General features: G+C 32.7%; 1 long non-coding RNA gene across 1 annotated transcript in view, besides 1 other annotated feature; it reads right to left on the reverse strand.

Moving 5' to 3' along the window:
* Nucleotides 1-1,580: 1,580 nt before the first annotated feature.
* Nucleotides 1,581-17,615, reverse strand: part of LINC02882 (long intergenic non-protein coding RNA 2882) — a 159,459-nt gene continuing 143,424 nt past the window's right edge. Inside the window, exon 7 of the long non-coding RNA NR_038300.1 lies at nucleotides 1,581-1,624. This is a non-coding gene — a long non-coding RNA (long intergenic non-protein coding RNA 2882). The remainder of the gene's footprint in view (nucleotides 1,625-17,615) is intronic.
* Nucleotides 16,743-16,943: a silencer, noted in NCBI's record as "peak1834 fragment used in MPRA reporter construct". NCBI's record gives its function as "represses an SCP1 promoter by STARR-seq MPRAs in K562 erythroleukemia cells {active_cell/tissue: K562}" and the evidence as "EXISTENCE:reporter gene assay evidence [ECO:0000049][PMID:32103011]".

Consider the following 17,615-nt stretch of genomic DNA (forward strand, 5'->3'; position numbering starts at 1 on the left):
GACAAAGGACCTCAATGCGAGCTTCATAAAAGACGAAATAGACAACAACAAATGAAAAAGTACTTCATCTCATTGACTTCAGGTAAACACAAATGAGTATTTCAAGGAGACATCTTTTTTTTTTTTCAACTTTTATTTTAGAAACAGAGGGTACATGTGCAGGTTTGTGAAAAAGGTATATCACATGATGCTGAGGTTTGGGGTATGATTAAACCTGTCACCCTGGTAGTGAGCATAGTACCTAATAGGTAGTCATTCAGCCCTTTTCCTCCTCTCCCTCTCTCCCCACCTCTCCCTTTCTCCCCACGAGTAGTCTAGTGTCTCTTGTTCCTATCTTTATGTCCATGTGTACTCAATGTTTGGCTCCCAGTGAGAATACGTGGTCTTTGGTTTTCTGTTTCTGTGTTAGTTCGCTTAGGATAATGGCCTCCAGCTGTATCCATGTTGCTGCAAAGGACATGATTTTATTCTTCTTTATGGTTGTGTAGTATTCCATAGTGTATATATACCACATTTTCTTTATCTAATCAACTGTTGATGGGTACCTAGGTTAATTCCATGTTTTTGCTATTGTAAATAGTGCTGCGACGAATATACAGGTGCCTGTGTCCTTTGGGTAAAACAGTTTATTTTCCTTTGGATATATACCCAGTAGTGGGATTGCTGGGTTGAATGGTAGTTCAACTCTCAGTTCTCTAAGGAATCTCCAAACTGCTTTCCATAGTGGCTGGACTAATTTACACTCTCACGAACAGTGTTTAAGTGTTCCTTTTTCTCTGCAGCCTCGCCAACATTGGTTATTTTTCTTAACTTTTTAACAAAAGCCATCCTGACTGGTATGAGATGATATCTCATGCTGATTTTGATTTGCATTTATCTGATAATTAGTGATGTTGAACATTTTTTATATGCTTGTTGGCTGCTTGTATGTCTTTTGAGAAGTGTCTGTTTATGTCTTTGACCCACTTTTTAATGAGGTGACTTGTTTTTTGCTTATTGATTTGTTTAAGTTCTTTACAGATTCTGGATATTAGATGTTTATCAGCTGCATAGTTTGCAAATATTTTATCCCATTCTGTCACTGTCTGTTTACTCTGTTGATAGTTTATTTCGCTCTTCAGTAACTCTTTAGTTTAATTAGGTCCCATTTGTCAATTTTTGTTTTTGTTGCATTTGCTTTTGAGGACTTAGCCATAAATTCCTTCCTGAGGCCAATGACCAGAATGGTGTTTCCTAGATTTTCTTCTAGGATTGTTAGAGTTTGTGGTCTTATATTTAAATTTTTAATCCATCTTAATTTTTGTATATGGTGAAGTGTATGGGTCCAGCTTCATGCTTCTGCATATGGCTAGCCAGCTATCCCAGCACCATTTATTGAATAGGCAGTCATTTCTCCATTGCTTATTTTTGCCAATTGTGTTGAAGATCAGATAGTTTTAGGTGTGTGGCTTTATTTCTGGATTCTGTTTTCTGTTCCATTGGTCTATGTGTCTGTTTTTTACCAGTACCATGCTGTTTTGGTTAGTGTAGCCTTGTAGTATAGTTTGAATTCAGGTAATGTGATGCCTTCAGCTTTGTTCTTTTTGCTTAGGATTGCTTTGGCTTTTCAAGATCATTTTTGGTCCTATATGAATTTAGAATAGTTTTTACTAATTCTGGGAAAAATCACAACCTATACACCAAATATATTAGTAGAAACTAAAAACAATTTTGACAATCCAGTGACGGTTTGGATATGGATGTAGATTGGTTCCATTCTACCTATGCTAAACAAGAGAAACACTAACCCCTAACTCACAGTGTCAAGTGTCTGGAAATGGTTGGAGGTAAGCTGGTTTCCAACCTGACACTCTTGACTGGTATATTTGAGTGCCTTCCAAGAACAGCTAAGAAAATTCTGAAAAAGAAAACAATGACAGCTCATTGACCTTACTACTTTCTGAAGCCTATGGATCTTTCATACATTACAAATCGTCTGTAAATCAATACTAAACTACAAAAACAAATAACTTTGCCTATCTACACACCTTACTTCAGATGAAGTCTGAAAATCACATTGTTCTTGTTTTTACCTTGAATTAAAGCATTCTACTTACCAAATACTCCTTGGAATATTTATGCTATTTCCATCCAAAATTCTTCCACAAAAAAAATAAGTTTTAGTTTATCTGTCTTCAGAAGGCCTACCTTTGTACTCTGCTAACTTCTCTTCCTCCTTCTCCCACTCTTTTTCCTTTCTTACCTTCCATTATTTTGTGTATAAGGTACATTGTGCCAGACATTGTGCTAAATGCCAGAAATACAAAGATCAATTAAAAATGACCACTTTTTGGGTAGAGTTTAAAAACTTGTATAGAGATTTCTTAAGAAAGAACAATTATATTTATAAAAATAAATGCACTACCACTTCATAAACTAATAGCAGCCAAATTTTCTTCATTGGGTTTTCTTGATATCTGTTCTGAGATATTTTGGTAACTTCTACTGATATTCACAATACGCTTATTGACTACATATGGAAAAACTGCTAACTGAGAAAAATGTCAGTAATTAATGGGCTAATTACATTCTTTCAATTAAATGTGTTCTCCTCCTTTAAGATCATGATAAAGACAACCAACATACAGTTAGATACTAATACAGAATTGTGGGAGGTTTTCAGATTTGATAAAGTTTTTTGAAAATTTGGAGTGATAATTACAATGTTATTTGTAGGCTCATAGGATTCCCAGTAATACATGAATTACACCAATTAGCTCTAATAGGTATGGCAGAGGAAAAAGCATGGAGTAGCCCAGAAATAATTTATGTTGCATGAATAAACTGTTCTTTGGCTCATACTAACAGGTTTCTTGATTATATAAACAGTTACAAAATGAATTGAAAACAGGAATTATCACTTACAGAAACTTTCCTTTATGCAAACTTTAAATATTAACAACTTTAACTTATTTTGCCTGACAAGCACCCTTATTGCTTAGATTTTGACTATGTATCAAAAGTTATCTAAAATAAATGTGGTACTGTAATTTACATTTTATATTTACATAACTACTACTGATTATGTACATATGGAATAGATAAATTAATCTCATCGCTTGATGAAGGTAAACATAATAAAACTTTTTGCTAATATTAAGGATCATCATTTCACAGTGCCTTATATTATGCTGAATGATCTAGTAGACAGAGAAACTTTCCAACTTTCCTAACATTTTGCATTTTTCTCTTGTTCGTCTTTTTTATCAGAATAGAATTATCTGAATTTAACTAAAATGCTATGTCTTATTTTGCTCCTAGGGTGTCGTAGGCTATGTCTACATCAAGACTTGTTAGTGTCAAGAAAAAGATAAGCTCAGTTGGAAAGAAAATTCCCAATGTAAACCTCTTTTTCACTTTGCCATGATTCTAGCCAAGGTGCTTCTCACCTCAGCAGTGACTTCACCTGACATTATTACTTAACTTGCATTTTCCTATTCCTTACATAAGGGAAATCTTCTGGAAACATATTAGATCTCTACATTCCTTTATCTCTAATTCTAAAGGATTATGAGTTGGAAACATTACTTTATTTTCAGTAACTCTTTATGTTGATTTAGTTTTAATCTTTTTGGTACGGTTTTAAACTTCCAAAAAGTATAGGAATAATACAAGAAACTCCTATAGGCTCTTTACCTAGACTTATATATTTTTTATTTTCCTCATTTGCTTTAATGTGAGATAAATTATTATATACTTTTTCTTTTAACACTTTAAATATTTATTCCACTAGTCTGATTTCTCACATGTCCACTGTAATTTTTATGTTATCCTTTATACTAAAAGTTCCTTCTTCTCTCTTCTGGCTTCATTTAAGATTTTTATCTTTCTCTCTCTCTGTCTCTCTCTCTCTCTCTCTGTCTCTCGCTCTTTTGAACATGATAGGCTAACGTGTTTTTTTTCGGGGGGAGAAGTATTTTTTCTGGTTAGTGTTTTCTCAGCCTCCTTTTATGTATGGTCCGGTGTTTATCATTAACTTTGGAAAGTACTTAGCCATTATTACTTCAAATATTTTTTCTGCTGTTTTCTTTTTTCTCTTCAGGTAATCCAATTACACATATGTTACATAGCTTGGAACTGCCCCAGTGTTCTTTGATGCTGTTTTGTTTTTGTTTTTAATTCTGCTCATAAGCACATCATGAGCATTTTTAATCTTGTTACATTGCTTTTTACTTCTAGTATTTTATTTTGATCTTACATTTTTTATCTCTCTGCTTACTTTACCTACTTGTTTTTGTTTGTTGCTTAATTTTTTTATTAAAACAACATATTAATTATAGTTATTTTAAATTATCTAATAATTCCAAAATCTGTGTCATATCCAATTCTAATGATTGTTTTCTCTTCAGACGAGGGATTTTTGTTTCTTTGTTTTATGTGTGTCTCTGTTTTGGTTGGTATATCTTATAATTTTTGGTTGAAATGCAGGGATATGATCAGTTAATAAGAACTGAGATAAGTAGGCCTTTAGTGTTAGGATTTATGGTAACCTGCCTAGAAGTGGATTGTGTTAATATTTGCTATATCTATAGATGCCAGAGGCTTTAAATTACTCTATGGTCTGTTTTTATATTTCTCCTCTTGACTTTATCCTTAACTAAATACTGTTCATCAGAGAGAGTCCATGACATGCCACTTTTTTTACCTGTAATCCACTGTTACTCTCATGGGGCCCTGTTGCAGTGGAAAGGGGATTAAAAGGCATTTTATCATCTTCTGATTAAATATCCAACTTTTAGATGATCTGTGTCTCTCAGATCTAACATTCACAATTGTTCGTATTTTTTCACGAGTATAAATTCCTTTTTCCTTGCCATCTACTTATTTCCCTGGCTGAAATATTTGTAGTCTATTTATGACAACCCTGACAGCTGTTTTTTGTTTTGTTTTTCTTTTTTTCTAATTTCAGTTTCTATTTTGGATTCAGGGGATACATGTGCAAGTTTGTTACATGGGCATATTGTGTGATGCTGATGTTTGGGATATGATTGATCCCATCACCCAGGTAGTGAGCATAGTACCAAAAGAGAATTTTGCAACCCTTTCCACCCTCTCCCTCTACCCTCTCTACTAGTCCCCAGTATCTCTTGTTCCCATCTTTATGTCCACACATAGCTGAAATTTAGCTCCCACTTTTATAAGTGAGAACATGTGATATTTCACTTTCTGCTTCTTCATTAATTCACTTAGAATAATGGCCTCCAACTCCATCCATTTTTGCCACAAAGGCTATAATTTCATTCTTTTTTATCGCTGTGTAGTATTCCATATTATATATTTACTACATTTCTTAATGCAATCCACCATCAAAGGGCACTTAGGTTGATTCCATGGCCTTGCTATTTTGAATTGTGCTGCGATGAACATAGGAGTCATGTGTTGTTTTGGTAGACTGATATATTTTCCTTTGGGTGGCTATGTACCCAGTAGTGGAATTACTGGGTTGAATGGTATTAGTTCTGTTTTAAGTTATTTGAAAAATCTCCAAACTGCTTTCAACAGAGGCTGAACTAATTTACATTCCCACCAACAGTGTATGTATTCCCTTTTGTTTGCAGCCTTGCCAGCCTCTGTTGTTTTTTGGCTTTTTAATAAGAGCCATTCTGACTGGTGTAAGAGGGTATCTTATTGTGGTTTTGATATGTATTTCTATGATGATTCATGATGTGGGAGCATTTTTACATACATGGGAACATTTTTACATATGTCTGTTGGCTGTTTGTATGTTTTCTTTTGAGAAGCACCTGACAGTTTTTGACAGTTTTTTTTTTCTTCCTTAATGAAACGGAAAGGCTGGTGGGAGAGACCTGGAGTAAAACGAATTTCCATTCCTCATCTGGGATAATGCTCTGGCAAAAAAAAATTCTCTGCACATAGTAGTTCTTATTGTGAAGTCTCTGGGTTTATTTCAATGGTTACTCTTCTCCTCTGCTTGCCACAACCAGAAGGGGAATTTTTCCTGGATCTCATTTGTAAGAAATTAGTGAAGTTTCTGTAGGTAAATCCCATGAATGTGATGGGCTCCCCTGTAAAACTTTAGCCCTCAGGAATTTTACACTCTCATGTTTATTCACACTCAGCCTCCAGCAATTTATCAAAATTACCATTTCTACCAGTTTATGGCTTCTGAGTTCCTACTAGTTTATGGCTTCTACTGCAACTAAGCAGATCTCGTCTGTATCTGTAGATTTAAATGTCCAGGTTTTGGAGTAGCAGTTTTTCCTTTTATACACCAGTTTTCTGATATTTCCTAGAAAAGTTTTTGACCAGTTCACCCAGCTTTGTCTTGATATAAAGATGAAAATGACAACTTTCAGGATTTTTACATAGCAGAGATGAAACTGGAACTAACTTCAGCAAAATGTATCTAGTATTTTTATCATCTACTGATAATTTTCTAACACCTTCATTCCTTCCGTATGACTTCACTTTGTCCTTGTTTTATAAGGAAGTGCTTTTCCATTGTTTGCATTTATTTATGTGCTTATTCATTTATTTATATCAGTGTAGGCTAAATGATTTCTTTTTCATTGAATAAGACATAATTTAGTAAATATTTTGATGCTCAAATTGTTCAGATTTGGCCAGTGTAAAGCCCAGCAAGCTGATTCCTGGGAACATCTGAGAAGTCCCCATGATTTTGATACTTTCTTTCTGACACATCACTATGTCTTTGGATCATTTTTTATTCTTCTTATAGGAATTAGTCATTTCTTCAAGGAACTTTAATTGCTTTTGTGGAAATTGGCATTTAGAAACTGAGATTTGGACTCTTAATGCTTTCATTAAGCATTATTTTCCCTTTCTGTATTTATAATTCCCTTTCTCAATAGTAAAAATATCTGGCTCCTGTTGATCAGCCCTTATAATGTTTTCATATTCTAGCAAATATAAATAGAATTGTTATGAAAGCGTTTTTCTGATTTTATAGTTTATTCATCTTAAATAAAGACTGTAAGTGGAATAGTAGGTCTTAGAATATGTGTTTGTTTAAGTTCAGAAGAATGTGCCAAATAATGTGTCAGAGGTTCCATCGAAGAAGGTCCCACTAGTAATATATGAGAGTTACTAATCCACATCCTTGCCAACATTTAATGTTGCCAGAATGTAAAGTTGTCCCATTTGAGTATGTCTCATGTGATTTTCATTTGCATATGCCCAGCGATTCATGATATTGAACACTTTTTATATGCACACTGGCCCTTTATTTTGCTTCCTTTGTGAATTGTTTGTTTAAATGTATTGCCAATCCTTTGTTATATATTTATTCTTAGTTTTAATTTATATAGGATATTATATATTCTGAACACATGCTTTGTTCTAATATGTGTTTTATATTTTTTAACACTGTCATATAATAAAAACATGTTTCTAAATTTGATTAGGTCTAATCTATCATTGTTTCCTTCACTATTTATGTGTTCTAAGTAAGAAATATGCTTCTATTACAGATGTCAAAATAATCTGCTTTTGTCACTTAAAAGCTTTTTATGCATCTTTTTCATGTAAGTCTATAATACATTTCTAATTATTTGTGTGTGTGTGTGTATGTTGTGTGTGTATGTTGTGTATGTTTCTGATGTGAGCCATAAAGATTCATTTTTGTTCCTTCGCATATCTACTTTATCCAGCCTCATATCAGAAAGACATTCCTATCTCCCTCCACTGAATTCCTTTAGTGACTTCAAAAATAATCCATTTATCATAAAATGTGAATCAATTTTTGGACTTTCTGTTATGTTTCACTGATCTATTTTTCTAAGTATTGTTTAGAGGAAAACTTATAACTACAAATGCCTATGATAAAAAAGAATGAAAGAATGATTTCAAATTAATAACCTAAACTTCCACCCCAAGAAAATAGAAAGAATAAACTCTGAATGGCCAGGAGGAAGGAAACAAACAGACAAAAAGTTAAGCGGAATAAATAAAATTTTGCATAGGAAAATAATAGAATGAATCAGAAAATTCCAGAGTTGGTTATTTGAAAAGATCAACAATGGTGACAAAACTTTATTTAGACTTACAAAAGAATGTTCAAATTACTAAAAATTAAAAATGAAGGAGAGGATATCATTTCAGAACTTAAAGAAATAAAAATAATTATAAGTAAAACTGTGAGTAACTATATGCCAACATATTAGTTCACCTAGATAAAACTGACTCCTGTCTAGGAATTAAAATGCTATCAAAACCGAGTCAAAAGAAATAGGAAATATGGATAGAACTTTAAAATTAAAGAGATTAAATTGGTGATTTTAAAACTTTTCACAAAGAAAATCCCAGGTCTAGTGGCTTCACTGGTGAATTTTAGAAATAAATTAAGGAATTAAATTCAATTCTATGTAAACTGTTTCAAAAAATAGAAAAGGAGAGAACACTTACCAACTCATTCTGAGATTAATATTAACTTGTTACCAATACCAGACAAATGCATTACAAAAAAGACTACTGACCTATATATAATAGAAATGTAGGTTTAAAAAAAAAAGGCAAAACAAAACAAATAAAAAATACTTCAAAAATATTAGTACACCTGCAGTCTTAGCTACTCAGGAGGCTGAGGTAAGAGAATTGCTTGGGCCCAGAGGTCAAGGCTGCAGTGAACCATGATGGAGCCACTGCACTCCAGCCTGAGTGACATTGTCAGACCATGTCTCAAGGAAAAGTATATATATTATGTATAATATATATTAGGAAATCAAATATATATTTGATATTATATATACCGTATATGTAGTATATGATATATAGTATATTTTTAATATATAAAATAATATATAATCTATATTAGCATATAGATTTACTAATACATATTTATATTATGTTAAATACAATGTATATATTTACTTATATATTGTATATATTTACATATATTATATATATAAATCTATAATAGCATATATACTAATATATATTTATATAATTATATATTATATAATATATTAGTATATATACTAATATATTATATTATTAGTGTATATACTAATATATAAATACAGATAAAATACATTAGTATTATATACACAATATATATTAGTAAATCAAATTCAGCAAAATATAAAAATTATTATGTATCATGACCAAGTGGGATCTATCCCAGGAATTTAAGATTAGGTTAATACCCAAAATCAAAAAATTCCAGTAGCTGGGATTACAGATATGTGCCATTGCTTCCATATAATTATTTTATCTTTGTAGTGAGAGGGTCTTGCCATGTTGCCCTCAGTGGTCTCCAGCTCTCGGGCTCAAGTGATCCACCATGGCTTCATGGCTTCCCAAAGTGCTGAGTCTACAGACCTAAACCACCACACCCAGCCTTTATTTTATTATTAATATGGTTCAATTTAATTATTAATATGATTCAATTCAGGTCTGTCTTTTTTTAAAAAAAATGTATTTCTTTCTCATTTTTCTCTCATTTGCACCCTCTCTTAGATTTTTTTTTTTAGTGTTACATCTGGAAATTATAATATGCATTTTAAGCTTATCATTGACTATTAGTGTTTATATTTTACCATATCACATAAAATCAAAAAAGACTGCAATAATATATTTTCATTTACCCCCATTCCTTTGTGCTATTTTTTTATATACAGCTTCTACATATTTGATGAAACCTACAATACATTGTTAGAATTTTTGCTTGAATGAACAAATTTAGGAGAATAAAATTAAGCTAATGAAAATATATTTTTGATATGGTTTGGCTCTGTCTCCACTCCATCTTGAATTGTAGTTCCCATAATCCCCACGTGTTGTGGGACCCAGTGGGAGGTAATTTAATCATGGGGGTGGTTACCCTCCTGCTGTTCTCAGTGATAGTGAGTTCTCATGAAATCGGATGGTTTTATAAGGGGTTTGTCCCACTTTGCTCAGTACTTCTCCTACCTGCCACATGTGAAGAAGGATGTGCTGCTTCCACTTCTGCCATGATTATAATTTTCCTGAGGCCTCCCCAGCTCTGCAGAACTCTCAGTCAATTAAACCTCTTTCCTTTATAAATTACCCAGTGATTTATTAATAGCAGCGTGAGAATGGACCAGTACAACTATATGTCTACCAACATATATACCATTATCAATATTTTTATTGCTGGTTTAATCTCTTCAGTCCAAACAACTTTCTTTACTATTTTATGTAGTGTATATTTTTTATGATGCTGCCATGACATTTTCACATTACTTAAAAAGGGGAAAAACATATGCCAACCAGAGTTGTATACTTGGTGAAAACAGTATACAAATATTAAACCAATTTGAAGTCATTTTCAGGTAAACAAAAATTATGGATGTTAACCGTGGGGAGGTTTGTCCAGTAGTATGTATACAATCAGGGACAAAGTGGGGAAATTGCTTAAGCTATATTTGTTTTTCTCTTTGTATACAGCAATAAAAATATCTGGCTCAAAAAAGAGCTTTGCTCAGAGTACAAGGAAAACCTGTTAAGATGGAAGATGGAGGTTGCAATGCAGATAATAAAAAAATTAGTGGTCCCTAAATTAATTTTGTTATTTCTTTATTATTTTATTTTTCGTACATATATTTAATTTTAACAATTCAGTATTTTTTAAATTGCTTATTTCATTTAGAAATGCAGACTTCCTACTTCTGTTAAAAAATCTGCAGATCTTACATTAGTCCCTCATATATACTGTTAACACTTAGTGGATCTTGAAATTCCAAGTTCTCTACAGTCATCTCCACTTTATCCTGCCTATTAATGAAATGCATTTTATATTAAGAGTAGGTCTCTGAAGCCATTGAGTTTGATACTCCCATAATGAAAAATGATGCACAAAAATTAATCTTGATCTATATGGAAAAGTAGAAAGGGTGACTGGAGAGCTTTTTAGAAAATTATATGTACTTATGTCCAGGTATTTACATCACCAGGAGGTTCCAGCTTGCAATTGCTCCTCAATCCATCACCTACTTGAACCAACACAATGTCTCTCACCACCTTCCACATCCTTCACACTCTTGCTTTCCTGAAATCTAAGTCCTCATTCATGGGCAATAAATTCTGCGGAGCCAAAATGTATATAATAAATCTTACATTTCTGGACACATTCTTACATAAAGCATGTTATATAAAGGCTGAGATTTTAGAGAAACATTAAGACAATATTTTATTTTTGGCATGTTATAGGCCAAGATAGTTTTGAGGCTGATTTTTAAAAATTAAAATGTAATTCTACTCTTATAAAGGTTAATTTTAAATTAAAGAGAAAGACAATTTGCACATAGGCTTTTATAACATTTTAAAGTTTAGGGATACAATATATTCAATACATCAGTAGGTGGATAGGGATGGGCAGACAGTAGATGATAGCTAGCTAGATAAACTTGGTTTATTCAAGTCATATTACATTCTCTGGGAGGAAGTTAATTAATTTTCCTTACATTTTCTCTTATTCGACCACATGCTATCTCATATCTTTCTGACATCTTGATTTATATTATAATACTCTCAGTAACAATAAAAATAAAGCAGTGATATCTGAAATTGAGATTAAATATAATTATTTTCAGGAAACGTATAATTTATTTTCATTTTCTTATCTCTTCAACTTAATGTGATATGTTATTCATAAATAATTCTTCAAAATTTCAATAACCATTGAAATCCTATTTACTTCGACTGGAGGGTAGATTTTAGAGTCTACATATTGGCCAGTATAATTATAAAACTTCATAAACTACCTTCCTTTATGGTGGTGTTTTGCAATTTATTTTCTGGTTAAATTCTTAGGTAATATGATTCACTTTTTTTAAGACAAATATTTCTACTGGTGATAATGTCACAACTAAAACTCAGTTGCTCATGGATTCAGAAAATAGGCTGTCATTGTAGTGTGACTGTCTGAATATTTCAAATAATAAAAAAATTTAGCATGGAACCCACCCACCAAAATATGTTTGAGTACTACAATGTTTGACATGTACAGAGATATTAATAAGATAAAATTTTATAGTATTAACTTAGGTATCTTGGCTCATTAGAAATCTACCTAAAATGAGAAAAAATATTATAATTCAACTGTAATTTTAAAAAAAATAAATAGCTTTACTGTTCTTATGCTGAATTTATCAATCCATTCTGACATTGGGTTGACACAGCCTTAGGCTGTTTTCTAATTTTTTTCTTATAAAATAAGCAATGCTGGAGTAGAAGAATATTGCTGGTGTTTTAGATCTATGTACAAAGATAAATTACTTCATATACTTGGATGCATTTTCTTCCTCCCCAACACATACACTTCTACAATCTACCCCATGATAACTGTATTGTAAGCTGAGAGGTTAAAATGTAATCGAGAGCTGAGCCTTTATATGACATGCTCACAGCAACCTTCATGAAAATTTCATTTGTTAAGAATGACTTACTTAGAGTAATAAAAGACAAAGATATTTTGAAACTATATCCTCTAACATCACCCCATCTTTCAGCGAATCCTTACTGCCAAAAAAAGACTGCAACCAGCTGTAAAATATAGAAAGTTATTTAATCTTAGAAATCTGGGGAGGCTGAGGCGGGCGGATCACGAGGTCAGGAGATAGAGACCATCCCGGCTAACAAGGTGAAACCCCATCTCTACTAAAAATACAAAAAAAAATTAGCTGGGCATGGTGACGGGTGCCTGTAGTCCCAGCTACTCGGGAGGCTGAGGCAGGAGAATGGCGTGCACCCGGGAGGTGGAGCTTGCAGTGAGCCAAGATCACGCTACTGCACTCCAGCCTGGGCAACAGAGCGAGACTCCGTCTCAAAAAAAAAAAAAAAAAAAAAAGAAATCTGGATTGTCTTCATTTGGTCTTTCAGAATCTTCATCTAAGCTCATTGCTAGAGTCATTTATTTCTCTAACAATAACCTCACATGTATATGTCTGTAGTCCCGACCACAAACTTGCAACTTGCATATATAAAGACTTTGCCATTTCGAGGCTTGTCACCTCAAACTCGCTATTGCAAAATTCACCTCCTCCACATCATCCCCAAAGCTCATTTGCTTTCCAGCTAACCCAATTCTGTCAATGAAGTTTTTTCCAGGTAACTTTCTAGATTCTCTATCTGGAAAACTTAGAATCATATATGATGCATCCTTCTTTAAAAAATACTTTATGTTCTCTATATCACTGAATCCCGCTAATTATTTCTTTAAAATAAATTCCAGTTTGAACCTTCTTCATGTTTACCAGAGGTTCCAGAAAGATAATCACCATTGTTTCTACCTAGATAATTGCAACATCCTTACGTTTACCTCCTTTCTTCTGTTTTAACTGTGTTTATAATTTATCCAATCTGCTACTATCACAGGCTATCAGAATTTTTTTAAAGTAGTTCACAAAGCTTTAAATAATTATTCCACTCCCCTGCACATTTTAGGAGGAAATCTAATATTTTTCCTGAAAACCTTAAATAACTGTAAATTATGTAATGCTTACCTCATTGTTATAGTCCTGTCTTAAAGCATGATTTAAATGTATCCAAAAATCAACATGCTATAACAATTTGATAATCATCAACTATTAAAATAAATTACAAATCTCATCATTAATTGTAGGAAATATTTCACCTGCTGTATTTCTAAAAAAATCATAGAAAATTTTTTTTTCTGAGTGTTGTATGGTCCTAATAAATATCTCGTCCAGTTTGACTAAATATAAAATATTAGTTTTTCTTTGCTTGAATATTCTAAATATATTATCTCATTGTCTTATGGTCTTAAGCATTGTCAAAAAGATTGATGACAAGCTGATTTTCCTTTCTTTGTACATTATGTAACCTGTCTGCCTAAATATCCAAAGATTATTTTTTTCTTTCCCTTTCTACTAAAACACTACTTTTCCTGTGATATGTCAATCTGTGGGTCACTTCGTGTTACTTTATGTATGAACTGTGACACTGCAAAATTTTGTTTACAGTAGATTTTTTTTCAGTTACATTTAAAAATTACATTTCTTTCTGTTGAATTGTTTTGCTTTGTAGGGGGAAAAAATCCTATTTTAGTTTGTTCATTTATCATGTCTCATATGCTATATCTAATACTTTAACTCAAATCCATTTGAATTTTTCATTTAAGAATATTAAAATTTCATATTTCCGTATTTTATATATCTTATGAAATTATCTATGACTATTTTTTAAAAAATTTTAATTGTTTTTATATCTCTTTCTTTCAAATACTTTCTTGACCTCATTTCTTATTTTCTTTGACTTGTGATTTAATTTGTTCTTTCACAGCTTCAATTCTTTTAGCACTAATTTTTTTAATTTTACTTTGAGTTCTAGGATACATGTGCAGAACATGCAGATTTGTTACATAGGTATACATGTGCCATGGTGGTTTGCAGTACCCATCAACCCCTCATCTATGTTTTAAGCCCCACATGCATTAGGTATTTGTCCTAATGCTCTCCCTCCCCTTGCCCCACACCCTCCAACAAGCCCCAGTGTGTGATGTTCCCCTCCCTGTGTCCATGTGTTCTCATTGTTCAGCTCCCACTTATGAGTGAGAACATGCAGTGTTGGGTTTTCTGTTCCTGTGTTAATCTGCTGAGAATGATGGCTTCTAGCTTCATCCATGTCCGTGCAAAGGACATGAACTCATTCTTTTTTTGTTTTTGTTTTTTTTTTGGCACTAATTTTAGATCATTTTAAAATACCAGGATATATTTTTAAATTTGTGAGCAGGTCTTTCTATTATGCTTTTACTCTTTTATGAATGTTATCCTGCTTTTTATTCTCTTTTCTTTATAATTATTTTTTATGGAAACATAATTATTTAAGTACTATTTATTTATTTATTTTTGAGATGAAGTCTCACTCTGTCACCAGGCTGGAGTGCAGTGGGGCGATCTCGGCTCACTGCAACCTCCGACTCCCTGGTTCAAGCGATTCTCCTGCTTCAGCCTCCAAAGTAGCTGGGATTACAGGTGTGCACCAGCACGCTGAGCTAATTTTTGTATTTTCAGTAGAAACGGGGCTTAAACATGTTGGCCAGGCTGGTCTCGACCTCCTGACCTCATGATCCTCCCACCTTGGCCTCCCAAAGTGCTGAGATTACAGGTGAGTATTCCCTTATTTATATATAACACATTTCAGATACTCATTTTTAAGTGAGATTAATGTTTTTGTATTTTTCAAAATGTAAAAATGAGCCAGCATAGTTTTTCTAACTCCACCATTCTAGAGCTTTTTTCTTCTGTTATTTTTATAAAATTATCAAACATGTTCACATGCTTTCTGAGATATCATTCCCCTAAACTCTTCTCTTTTCCCCTGTGTCTCTGTCCTGCTCATTTCCATCATATTTCCAACACTTTCTTTGTAACGGAGGGTCTTATCCTGGATGTGAACTTCGGCTTTTTAGGTTCTAGATTTCAAAGGGCTCAGACTGTCCTTCAAACAGTCTCCTTAAAATCACCCATTTGTTTAGGCCTAAAATCCCCCTCTCAGTTTTGGATACTCTTCTCAGTTTAATCTGGGAAGATTATCTTGGGTGACTTGAGGGTTCATCAGATTCCAGGGCTGCAAGAACCTATTTACTTTTCTTCTGATTCTCCTCTTGCAGTTTCTTATTCCACATGGGTTTTGTAGGTTTGACTACACACACATATTTCAGAGTTTATGAAACCATTTTTTCATGTGATTCTATGTAGATATTTCAATGGGACATTTGGTTTTGCTATATTAATTTATCTATCTTTTTTTAATTTAAGAGATTGGGGGAGATTCACCAAGCTACCCTGACAATGCATCCATCTATCCAGAATCCCACCCTAGCTTATTTTTTACAATAAATTTTTAGAGATCATGAATTATTTGTCTCTAGAAATCTTTTTGTTTTTGAAAACAATAAACTCTTGAAATTTTATTTATAGTATAGGTTATACTAATTAACTTTGGCTGTTTTTCTCACTTTATAATGATACAGAATTTCAATATTCCTTATAAAAGCTGACAAAAATACTTGAAGGAGGATTCCTCTATATTGTGAATGTTAATCAATGTTTGACTTTCTGTCAACATTAATGTTTGACTCTCTGTAAATCTAACTTAACTTATAAAGCCTAGAATGTGTATGTATACAAAAAACTGTTCAGTTTAACTCTGAAGCTAGCATAATAAAATTGTTATTAGGAATATATTATCAGGATGCATTAACTAAGGACCAAGACAAATGTTACCACTCAGAAATACCATTAAGAGTCAAATGTGCAACCTCCTTCAAATGATGTTATCTCCAAAAATATTTTCACACATATTTATCTCAGATTTGTGGTTACTTTCAATGACGATTCATATGCCTTCATTCATTAGATGTTTTTAAGTGTATACTCTGATTATCAACAGAACTGAAATATAATAATACATGAAATTTCCATAACTGGAAATTTACATTGAATATAATGCCAATCATCACTGTATATAACCCTCATTTTGGGAACAAGTTTTATTTTTATTTCTTATAATCAATTTACATGAAGCCACATAGTCCTCTTAATTTGAACTGGTCTTCTTAATATATGTTTATAATACCATATATACATTCATATTTACACATAAGGTAGAGCTACTAGATTTACTGCAAAGACATCAGATTTCTTAAAAGTATTTTCATCCAACTCAATTATTAATTATTAATGCAACTTTTCCCTGCTTCTACCCTTGCCAATCTACATTTTAGTCTTAAAAGAGCAGCAGAAGAGGCCTCTTTAAAACTATAAGCAAAAACATGTCACTCTTTTGTTCAAAACCATTCAGTAGTTCCCCATTTCACTCAGAGTCAAAGTAGAAGTCCTCTCTATGGCTCATATTGTATTACAAGATCTGGCCCCTCTTCATCTCTAATCTTACATCCCCAAGATGTAAGATTGTCACCAAGATTGTTTAGTCTACCACCAAGGCCAGCTTCACGGGCATGCAACTTATGTCCAGTGCTCAAGAGGACCCCAAATTTGTTTGATTCTTTATTGTCACCATCTTTAAATATTTAATACTTTTAACATTTTAATTGTATGTAAATGACATAACCTATTCTCTTGACCACTTTACTATGTCTTGACTATACCAGTCATTCCCCATTTTATCCTTTATAGCAGTTATTCCATTTCCTGGAATGCTGTTTTCTCAGAAAATTGGATGACTACCTTTCTTACCTCTTTACAATTTTTGCCCAAATGTCAGACCTAATCTGTACACCTGTAAAAAACTATAGTTATTCCACCATCATAAGCCCCTTCATATTTCTGATTTCCTCTTACCATGCTTCATATTTTATTTTTCTCTGTAATTCCTAATGCCTTACAATTTATGTCTATAGTATGGGTTTCTTTTCCTTTGCTTCTTTTTTGTTTCCCTTCATTTGCTTGTCTGTAGACCATAAAAGATAGTGATCTTTGCTTTGTTCACTGACATATATCAATCACCTACACAAGTTCCTGTTATGAGCTCATAAATCTTAGTTGGATAATGATTCTATTCATTCCACTTAACTAGAATGTAGCAACTGTAGCTTCGCTCATATGTATCATGTATTCACAAATTCATAATTTACCATTGAAAAAAACTTG

Source organism: Homo sapiens, chromosome 12 (genome assembly GCF_000001405.40).
Source record: "Homo sapiens chromosome 12, GRCh38.p14 Primary Assembly".
Taxonomy (NCBI): Eukaryota; Metazoa; Chordata; class Mammalia; order Primates; family Hominidae; genus Homo; species Homo sapiens.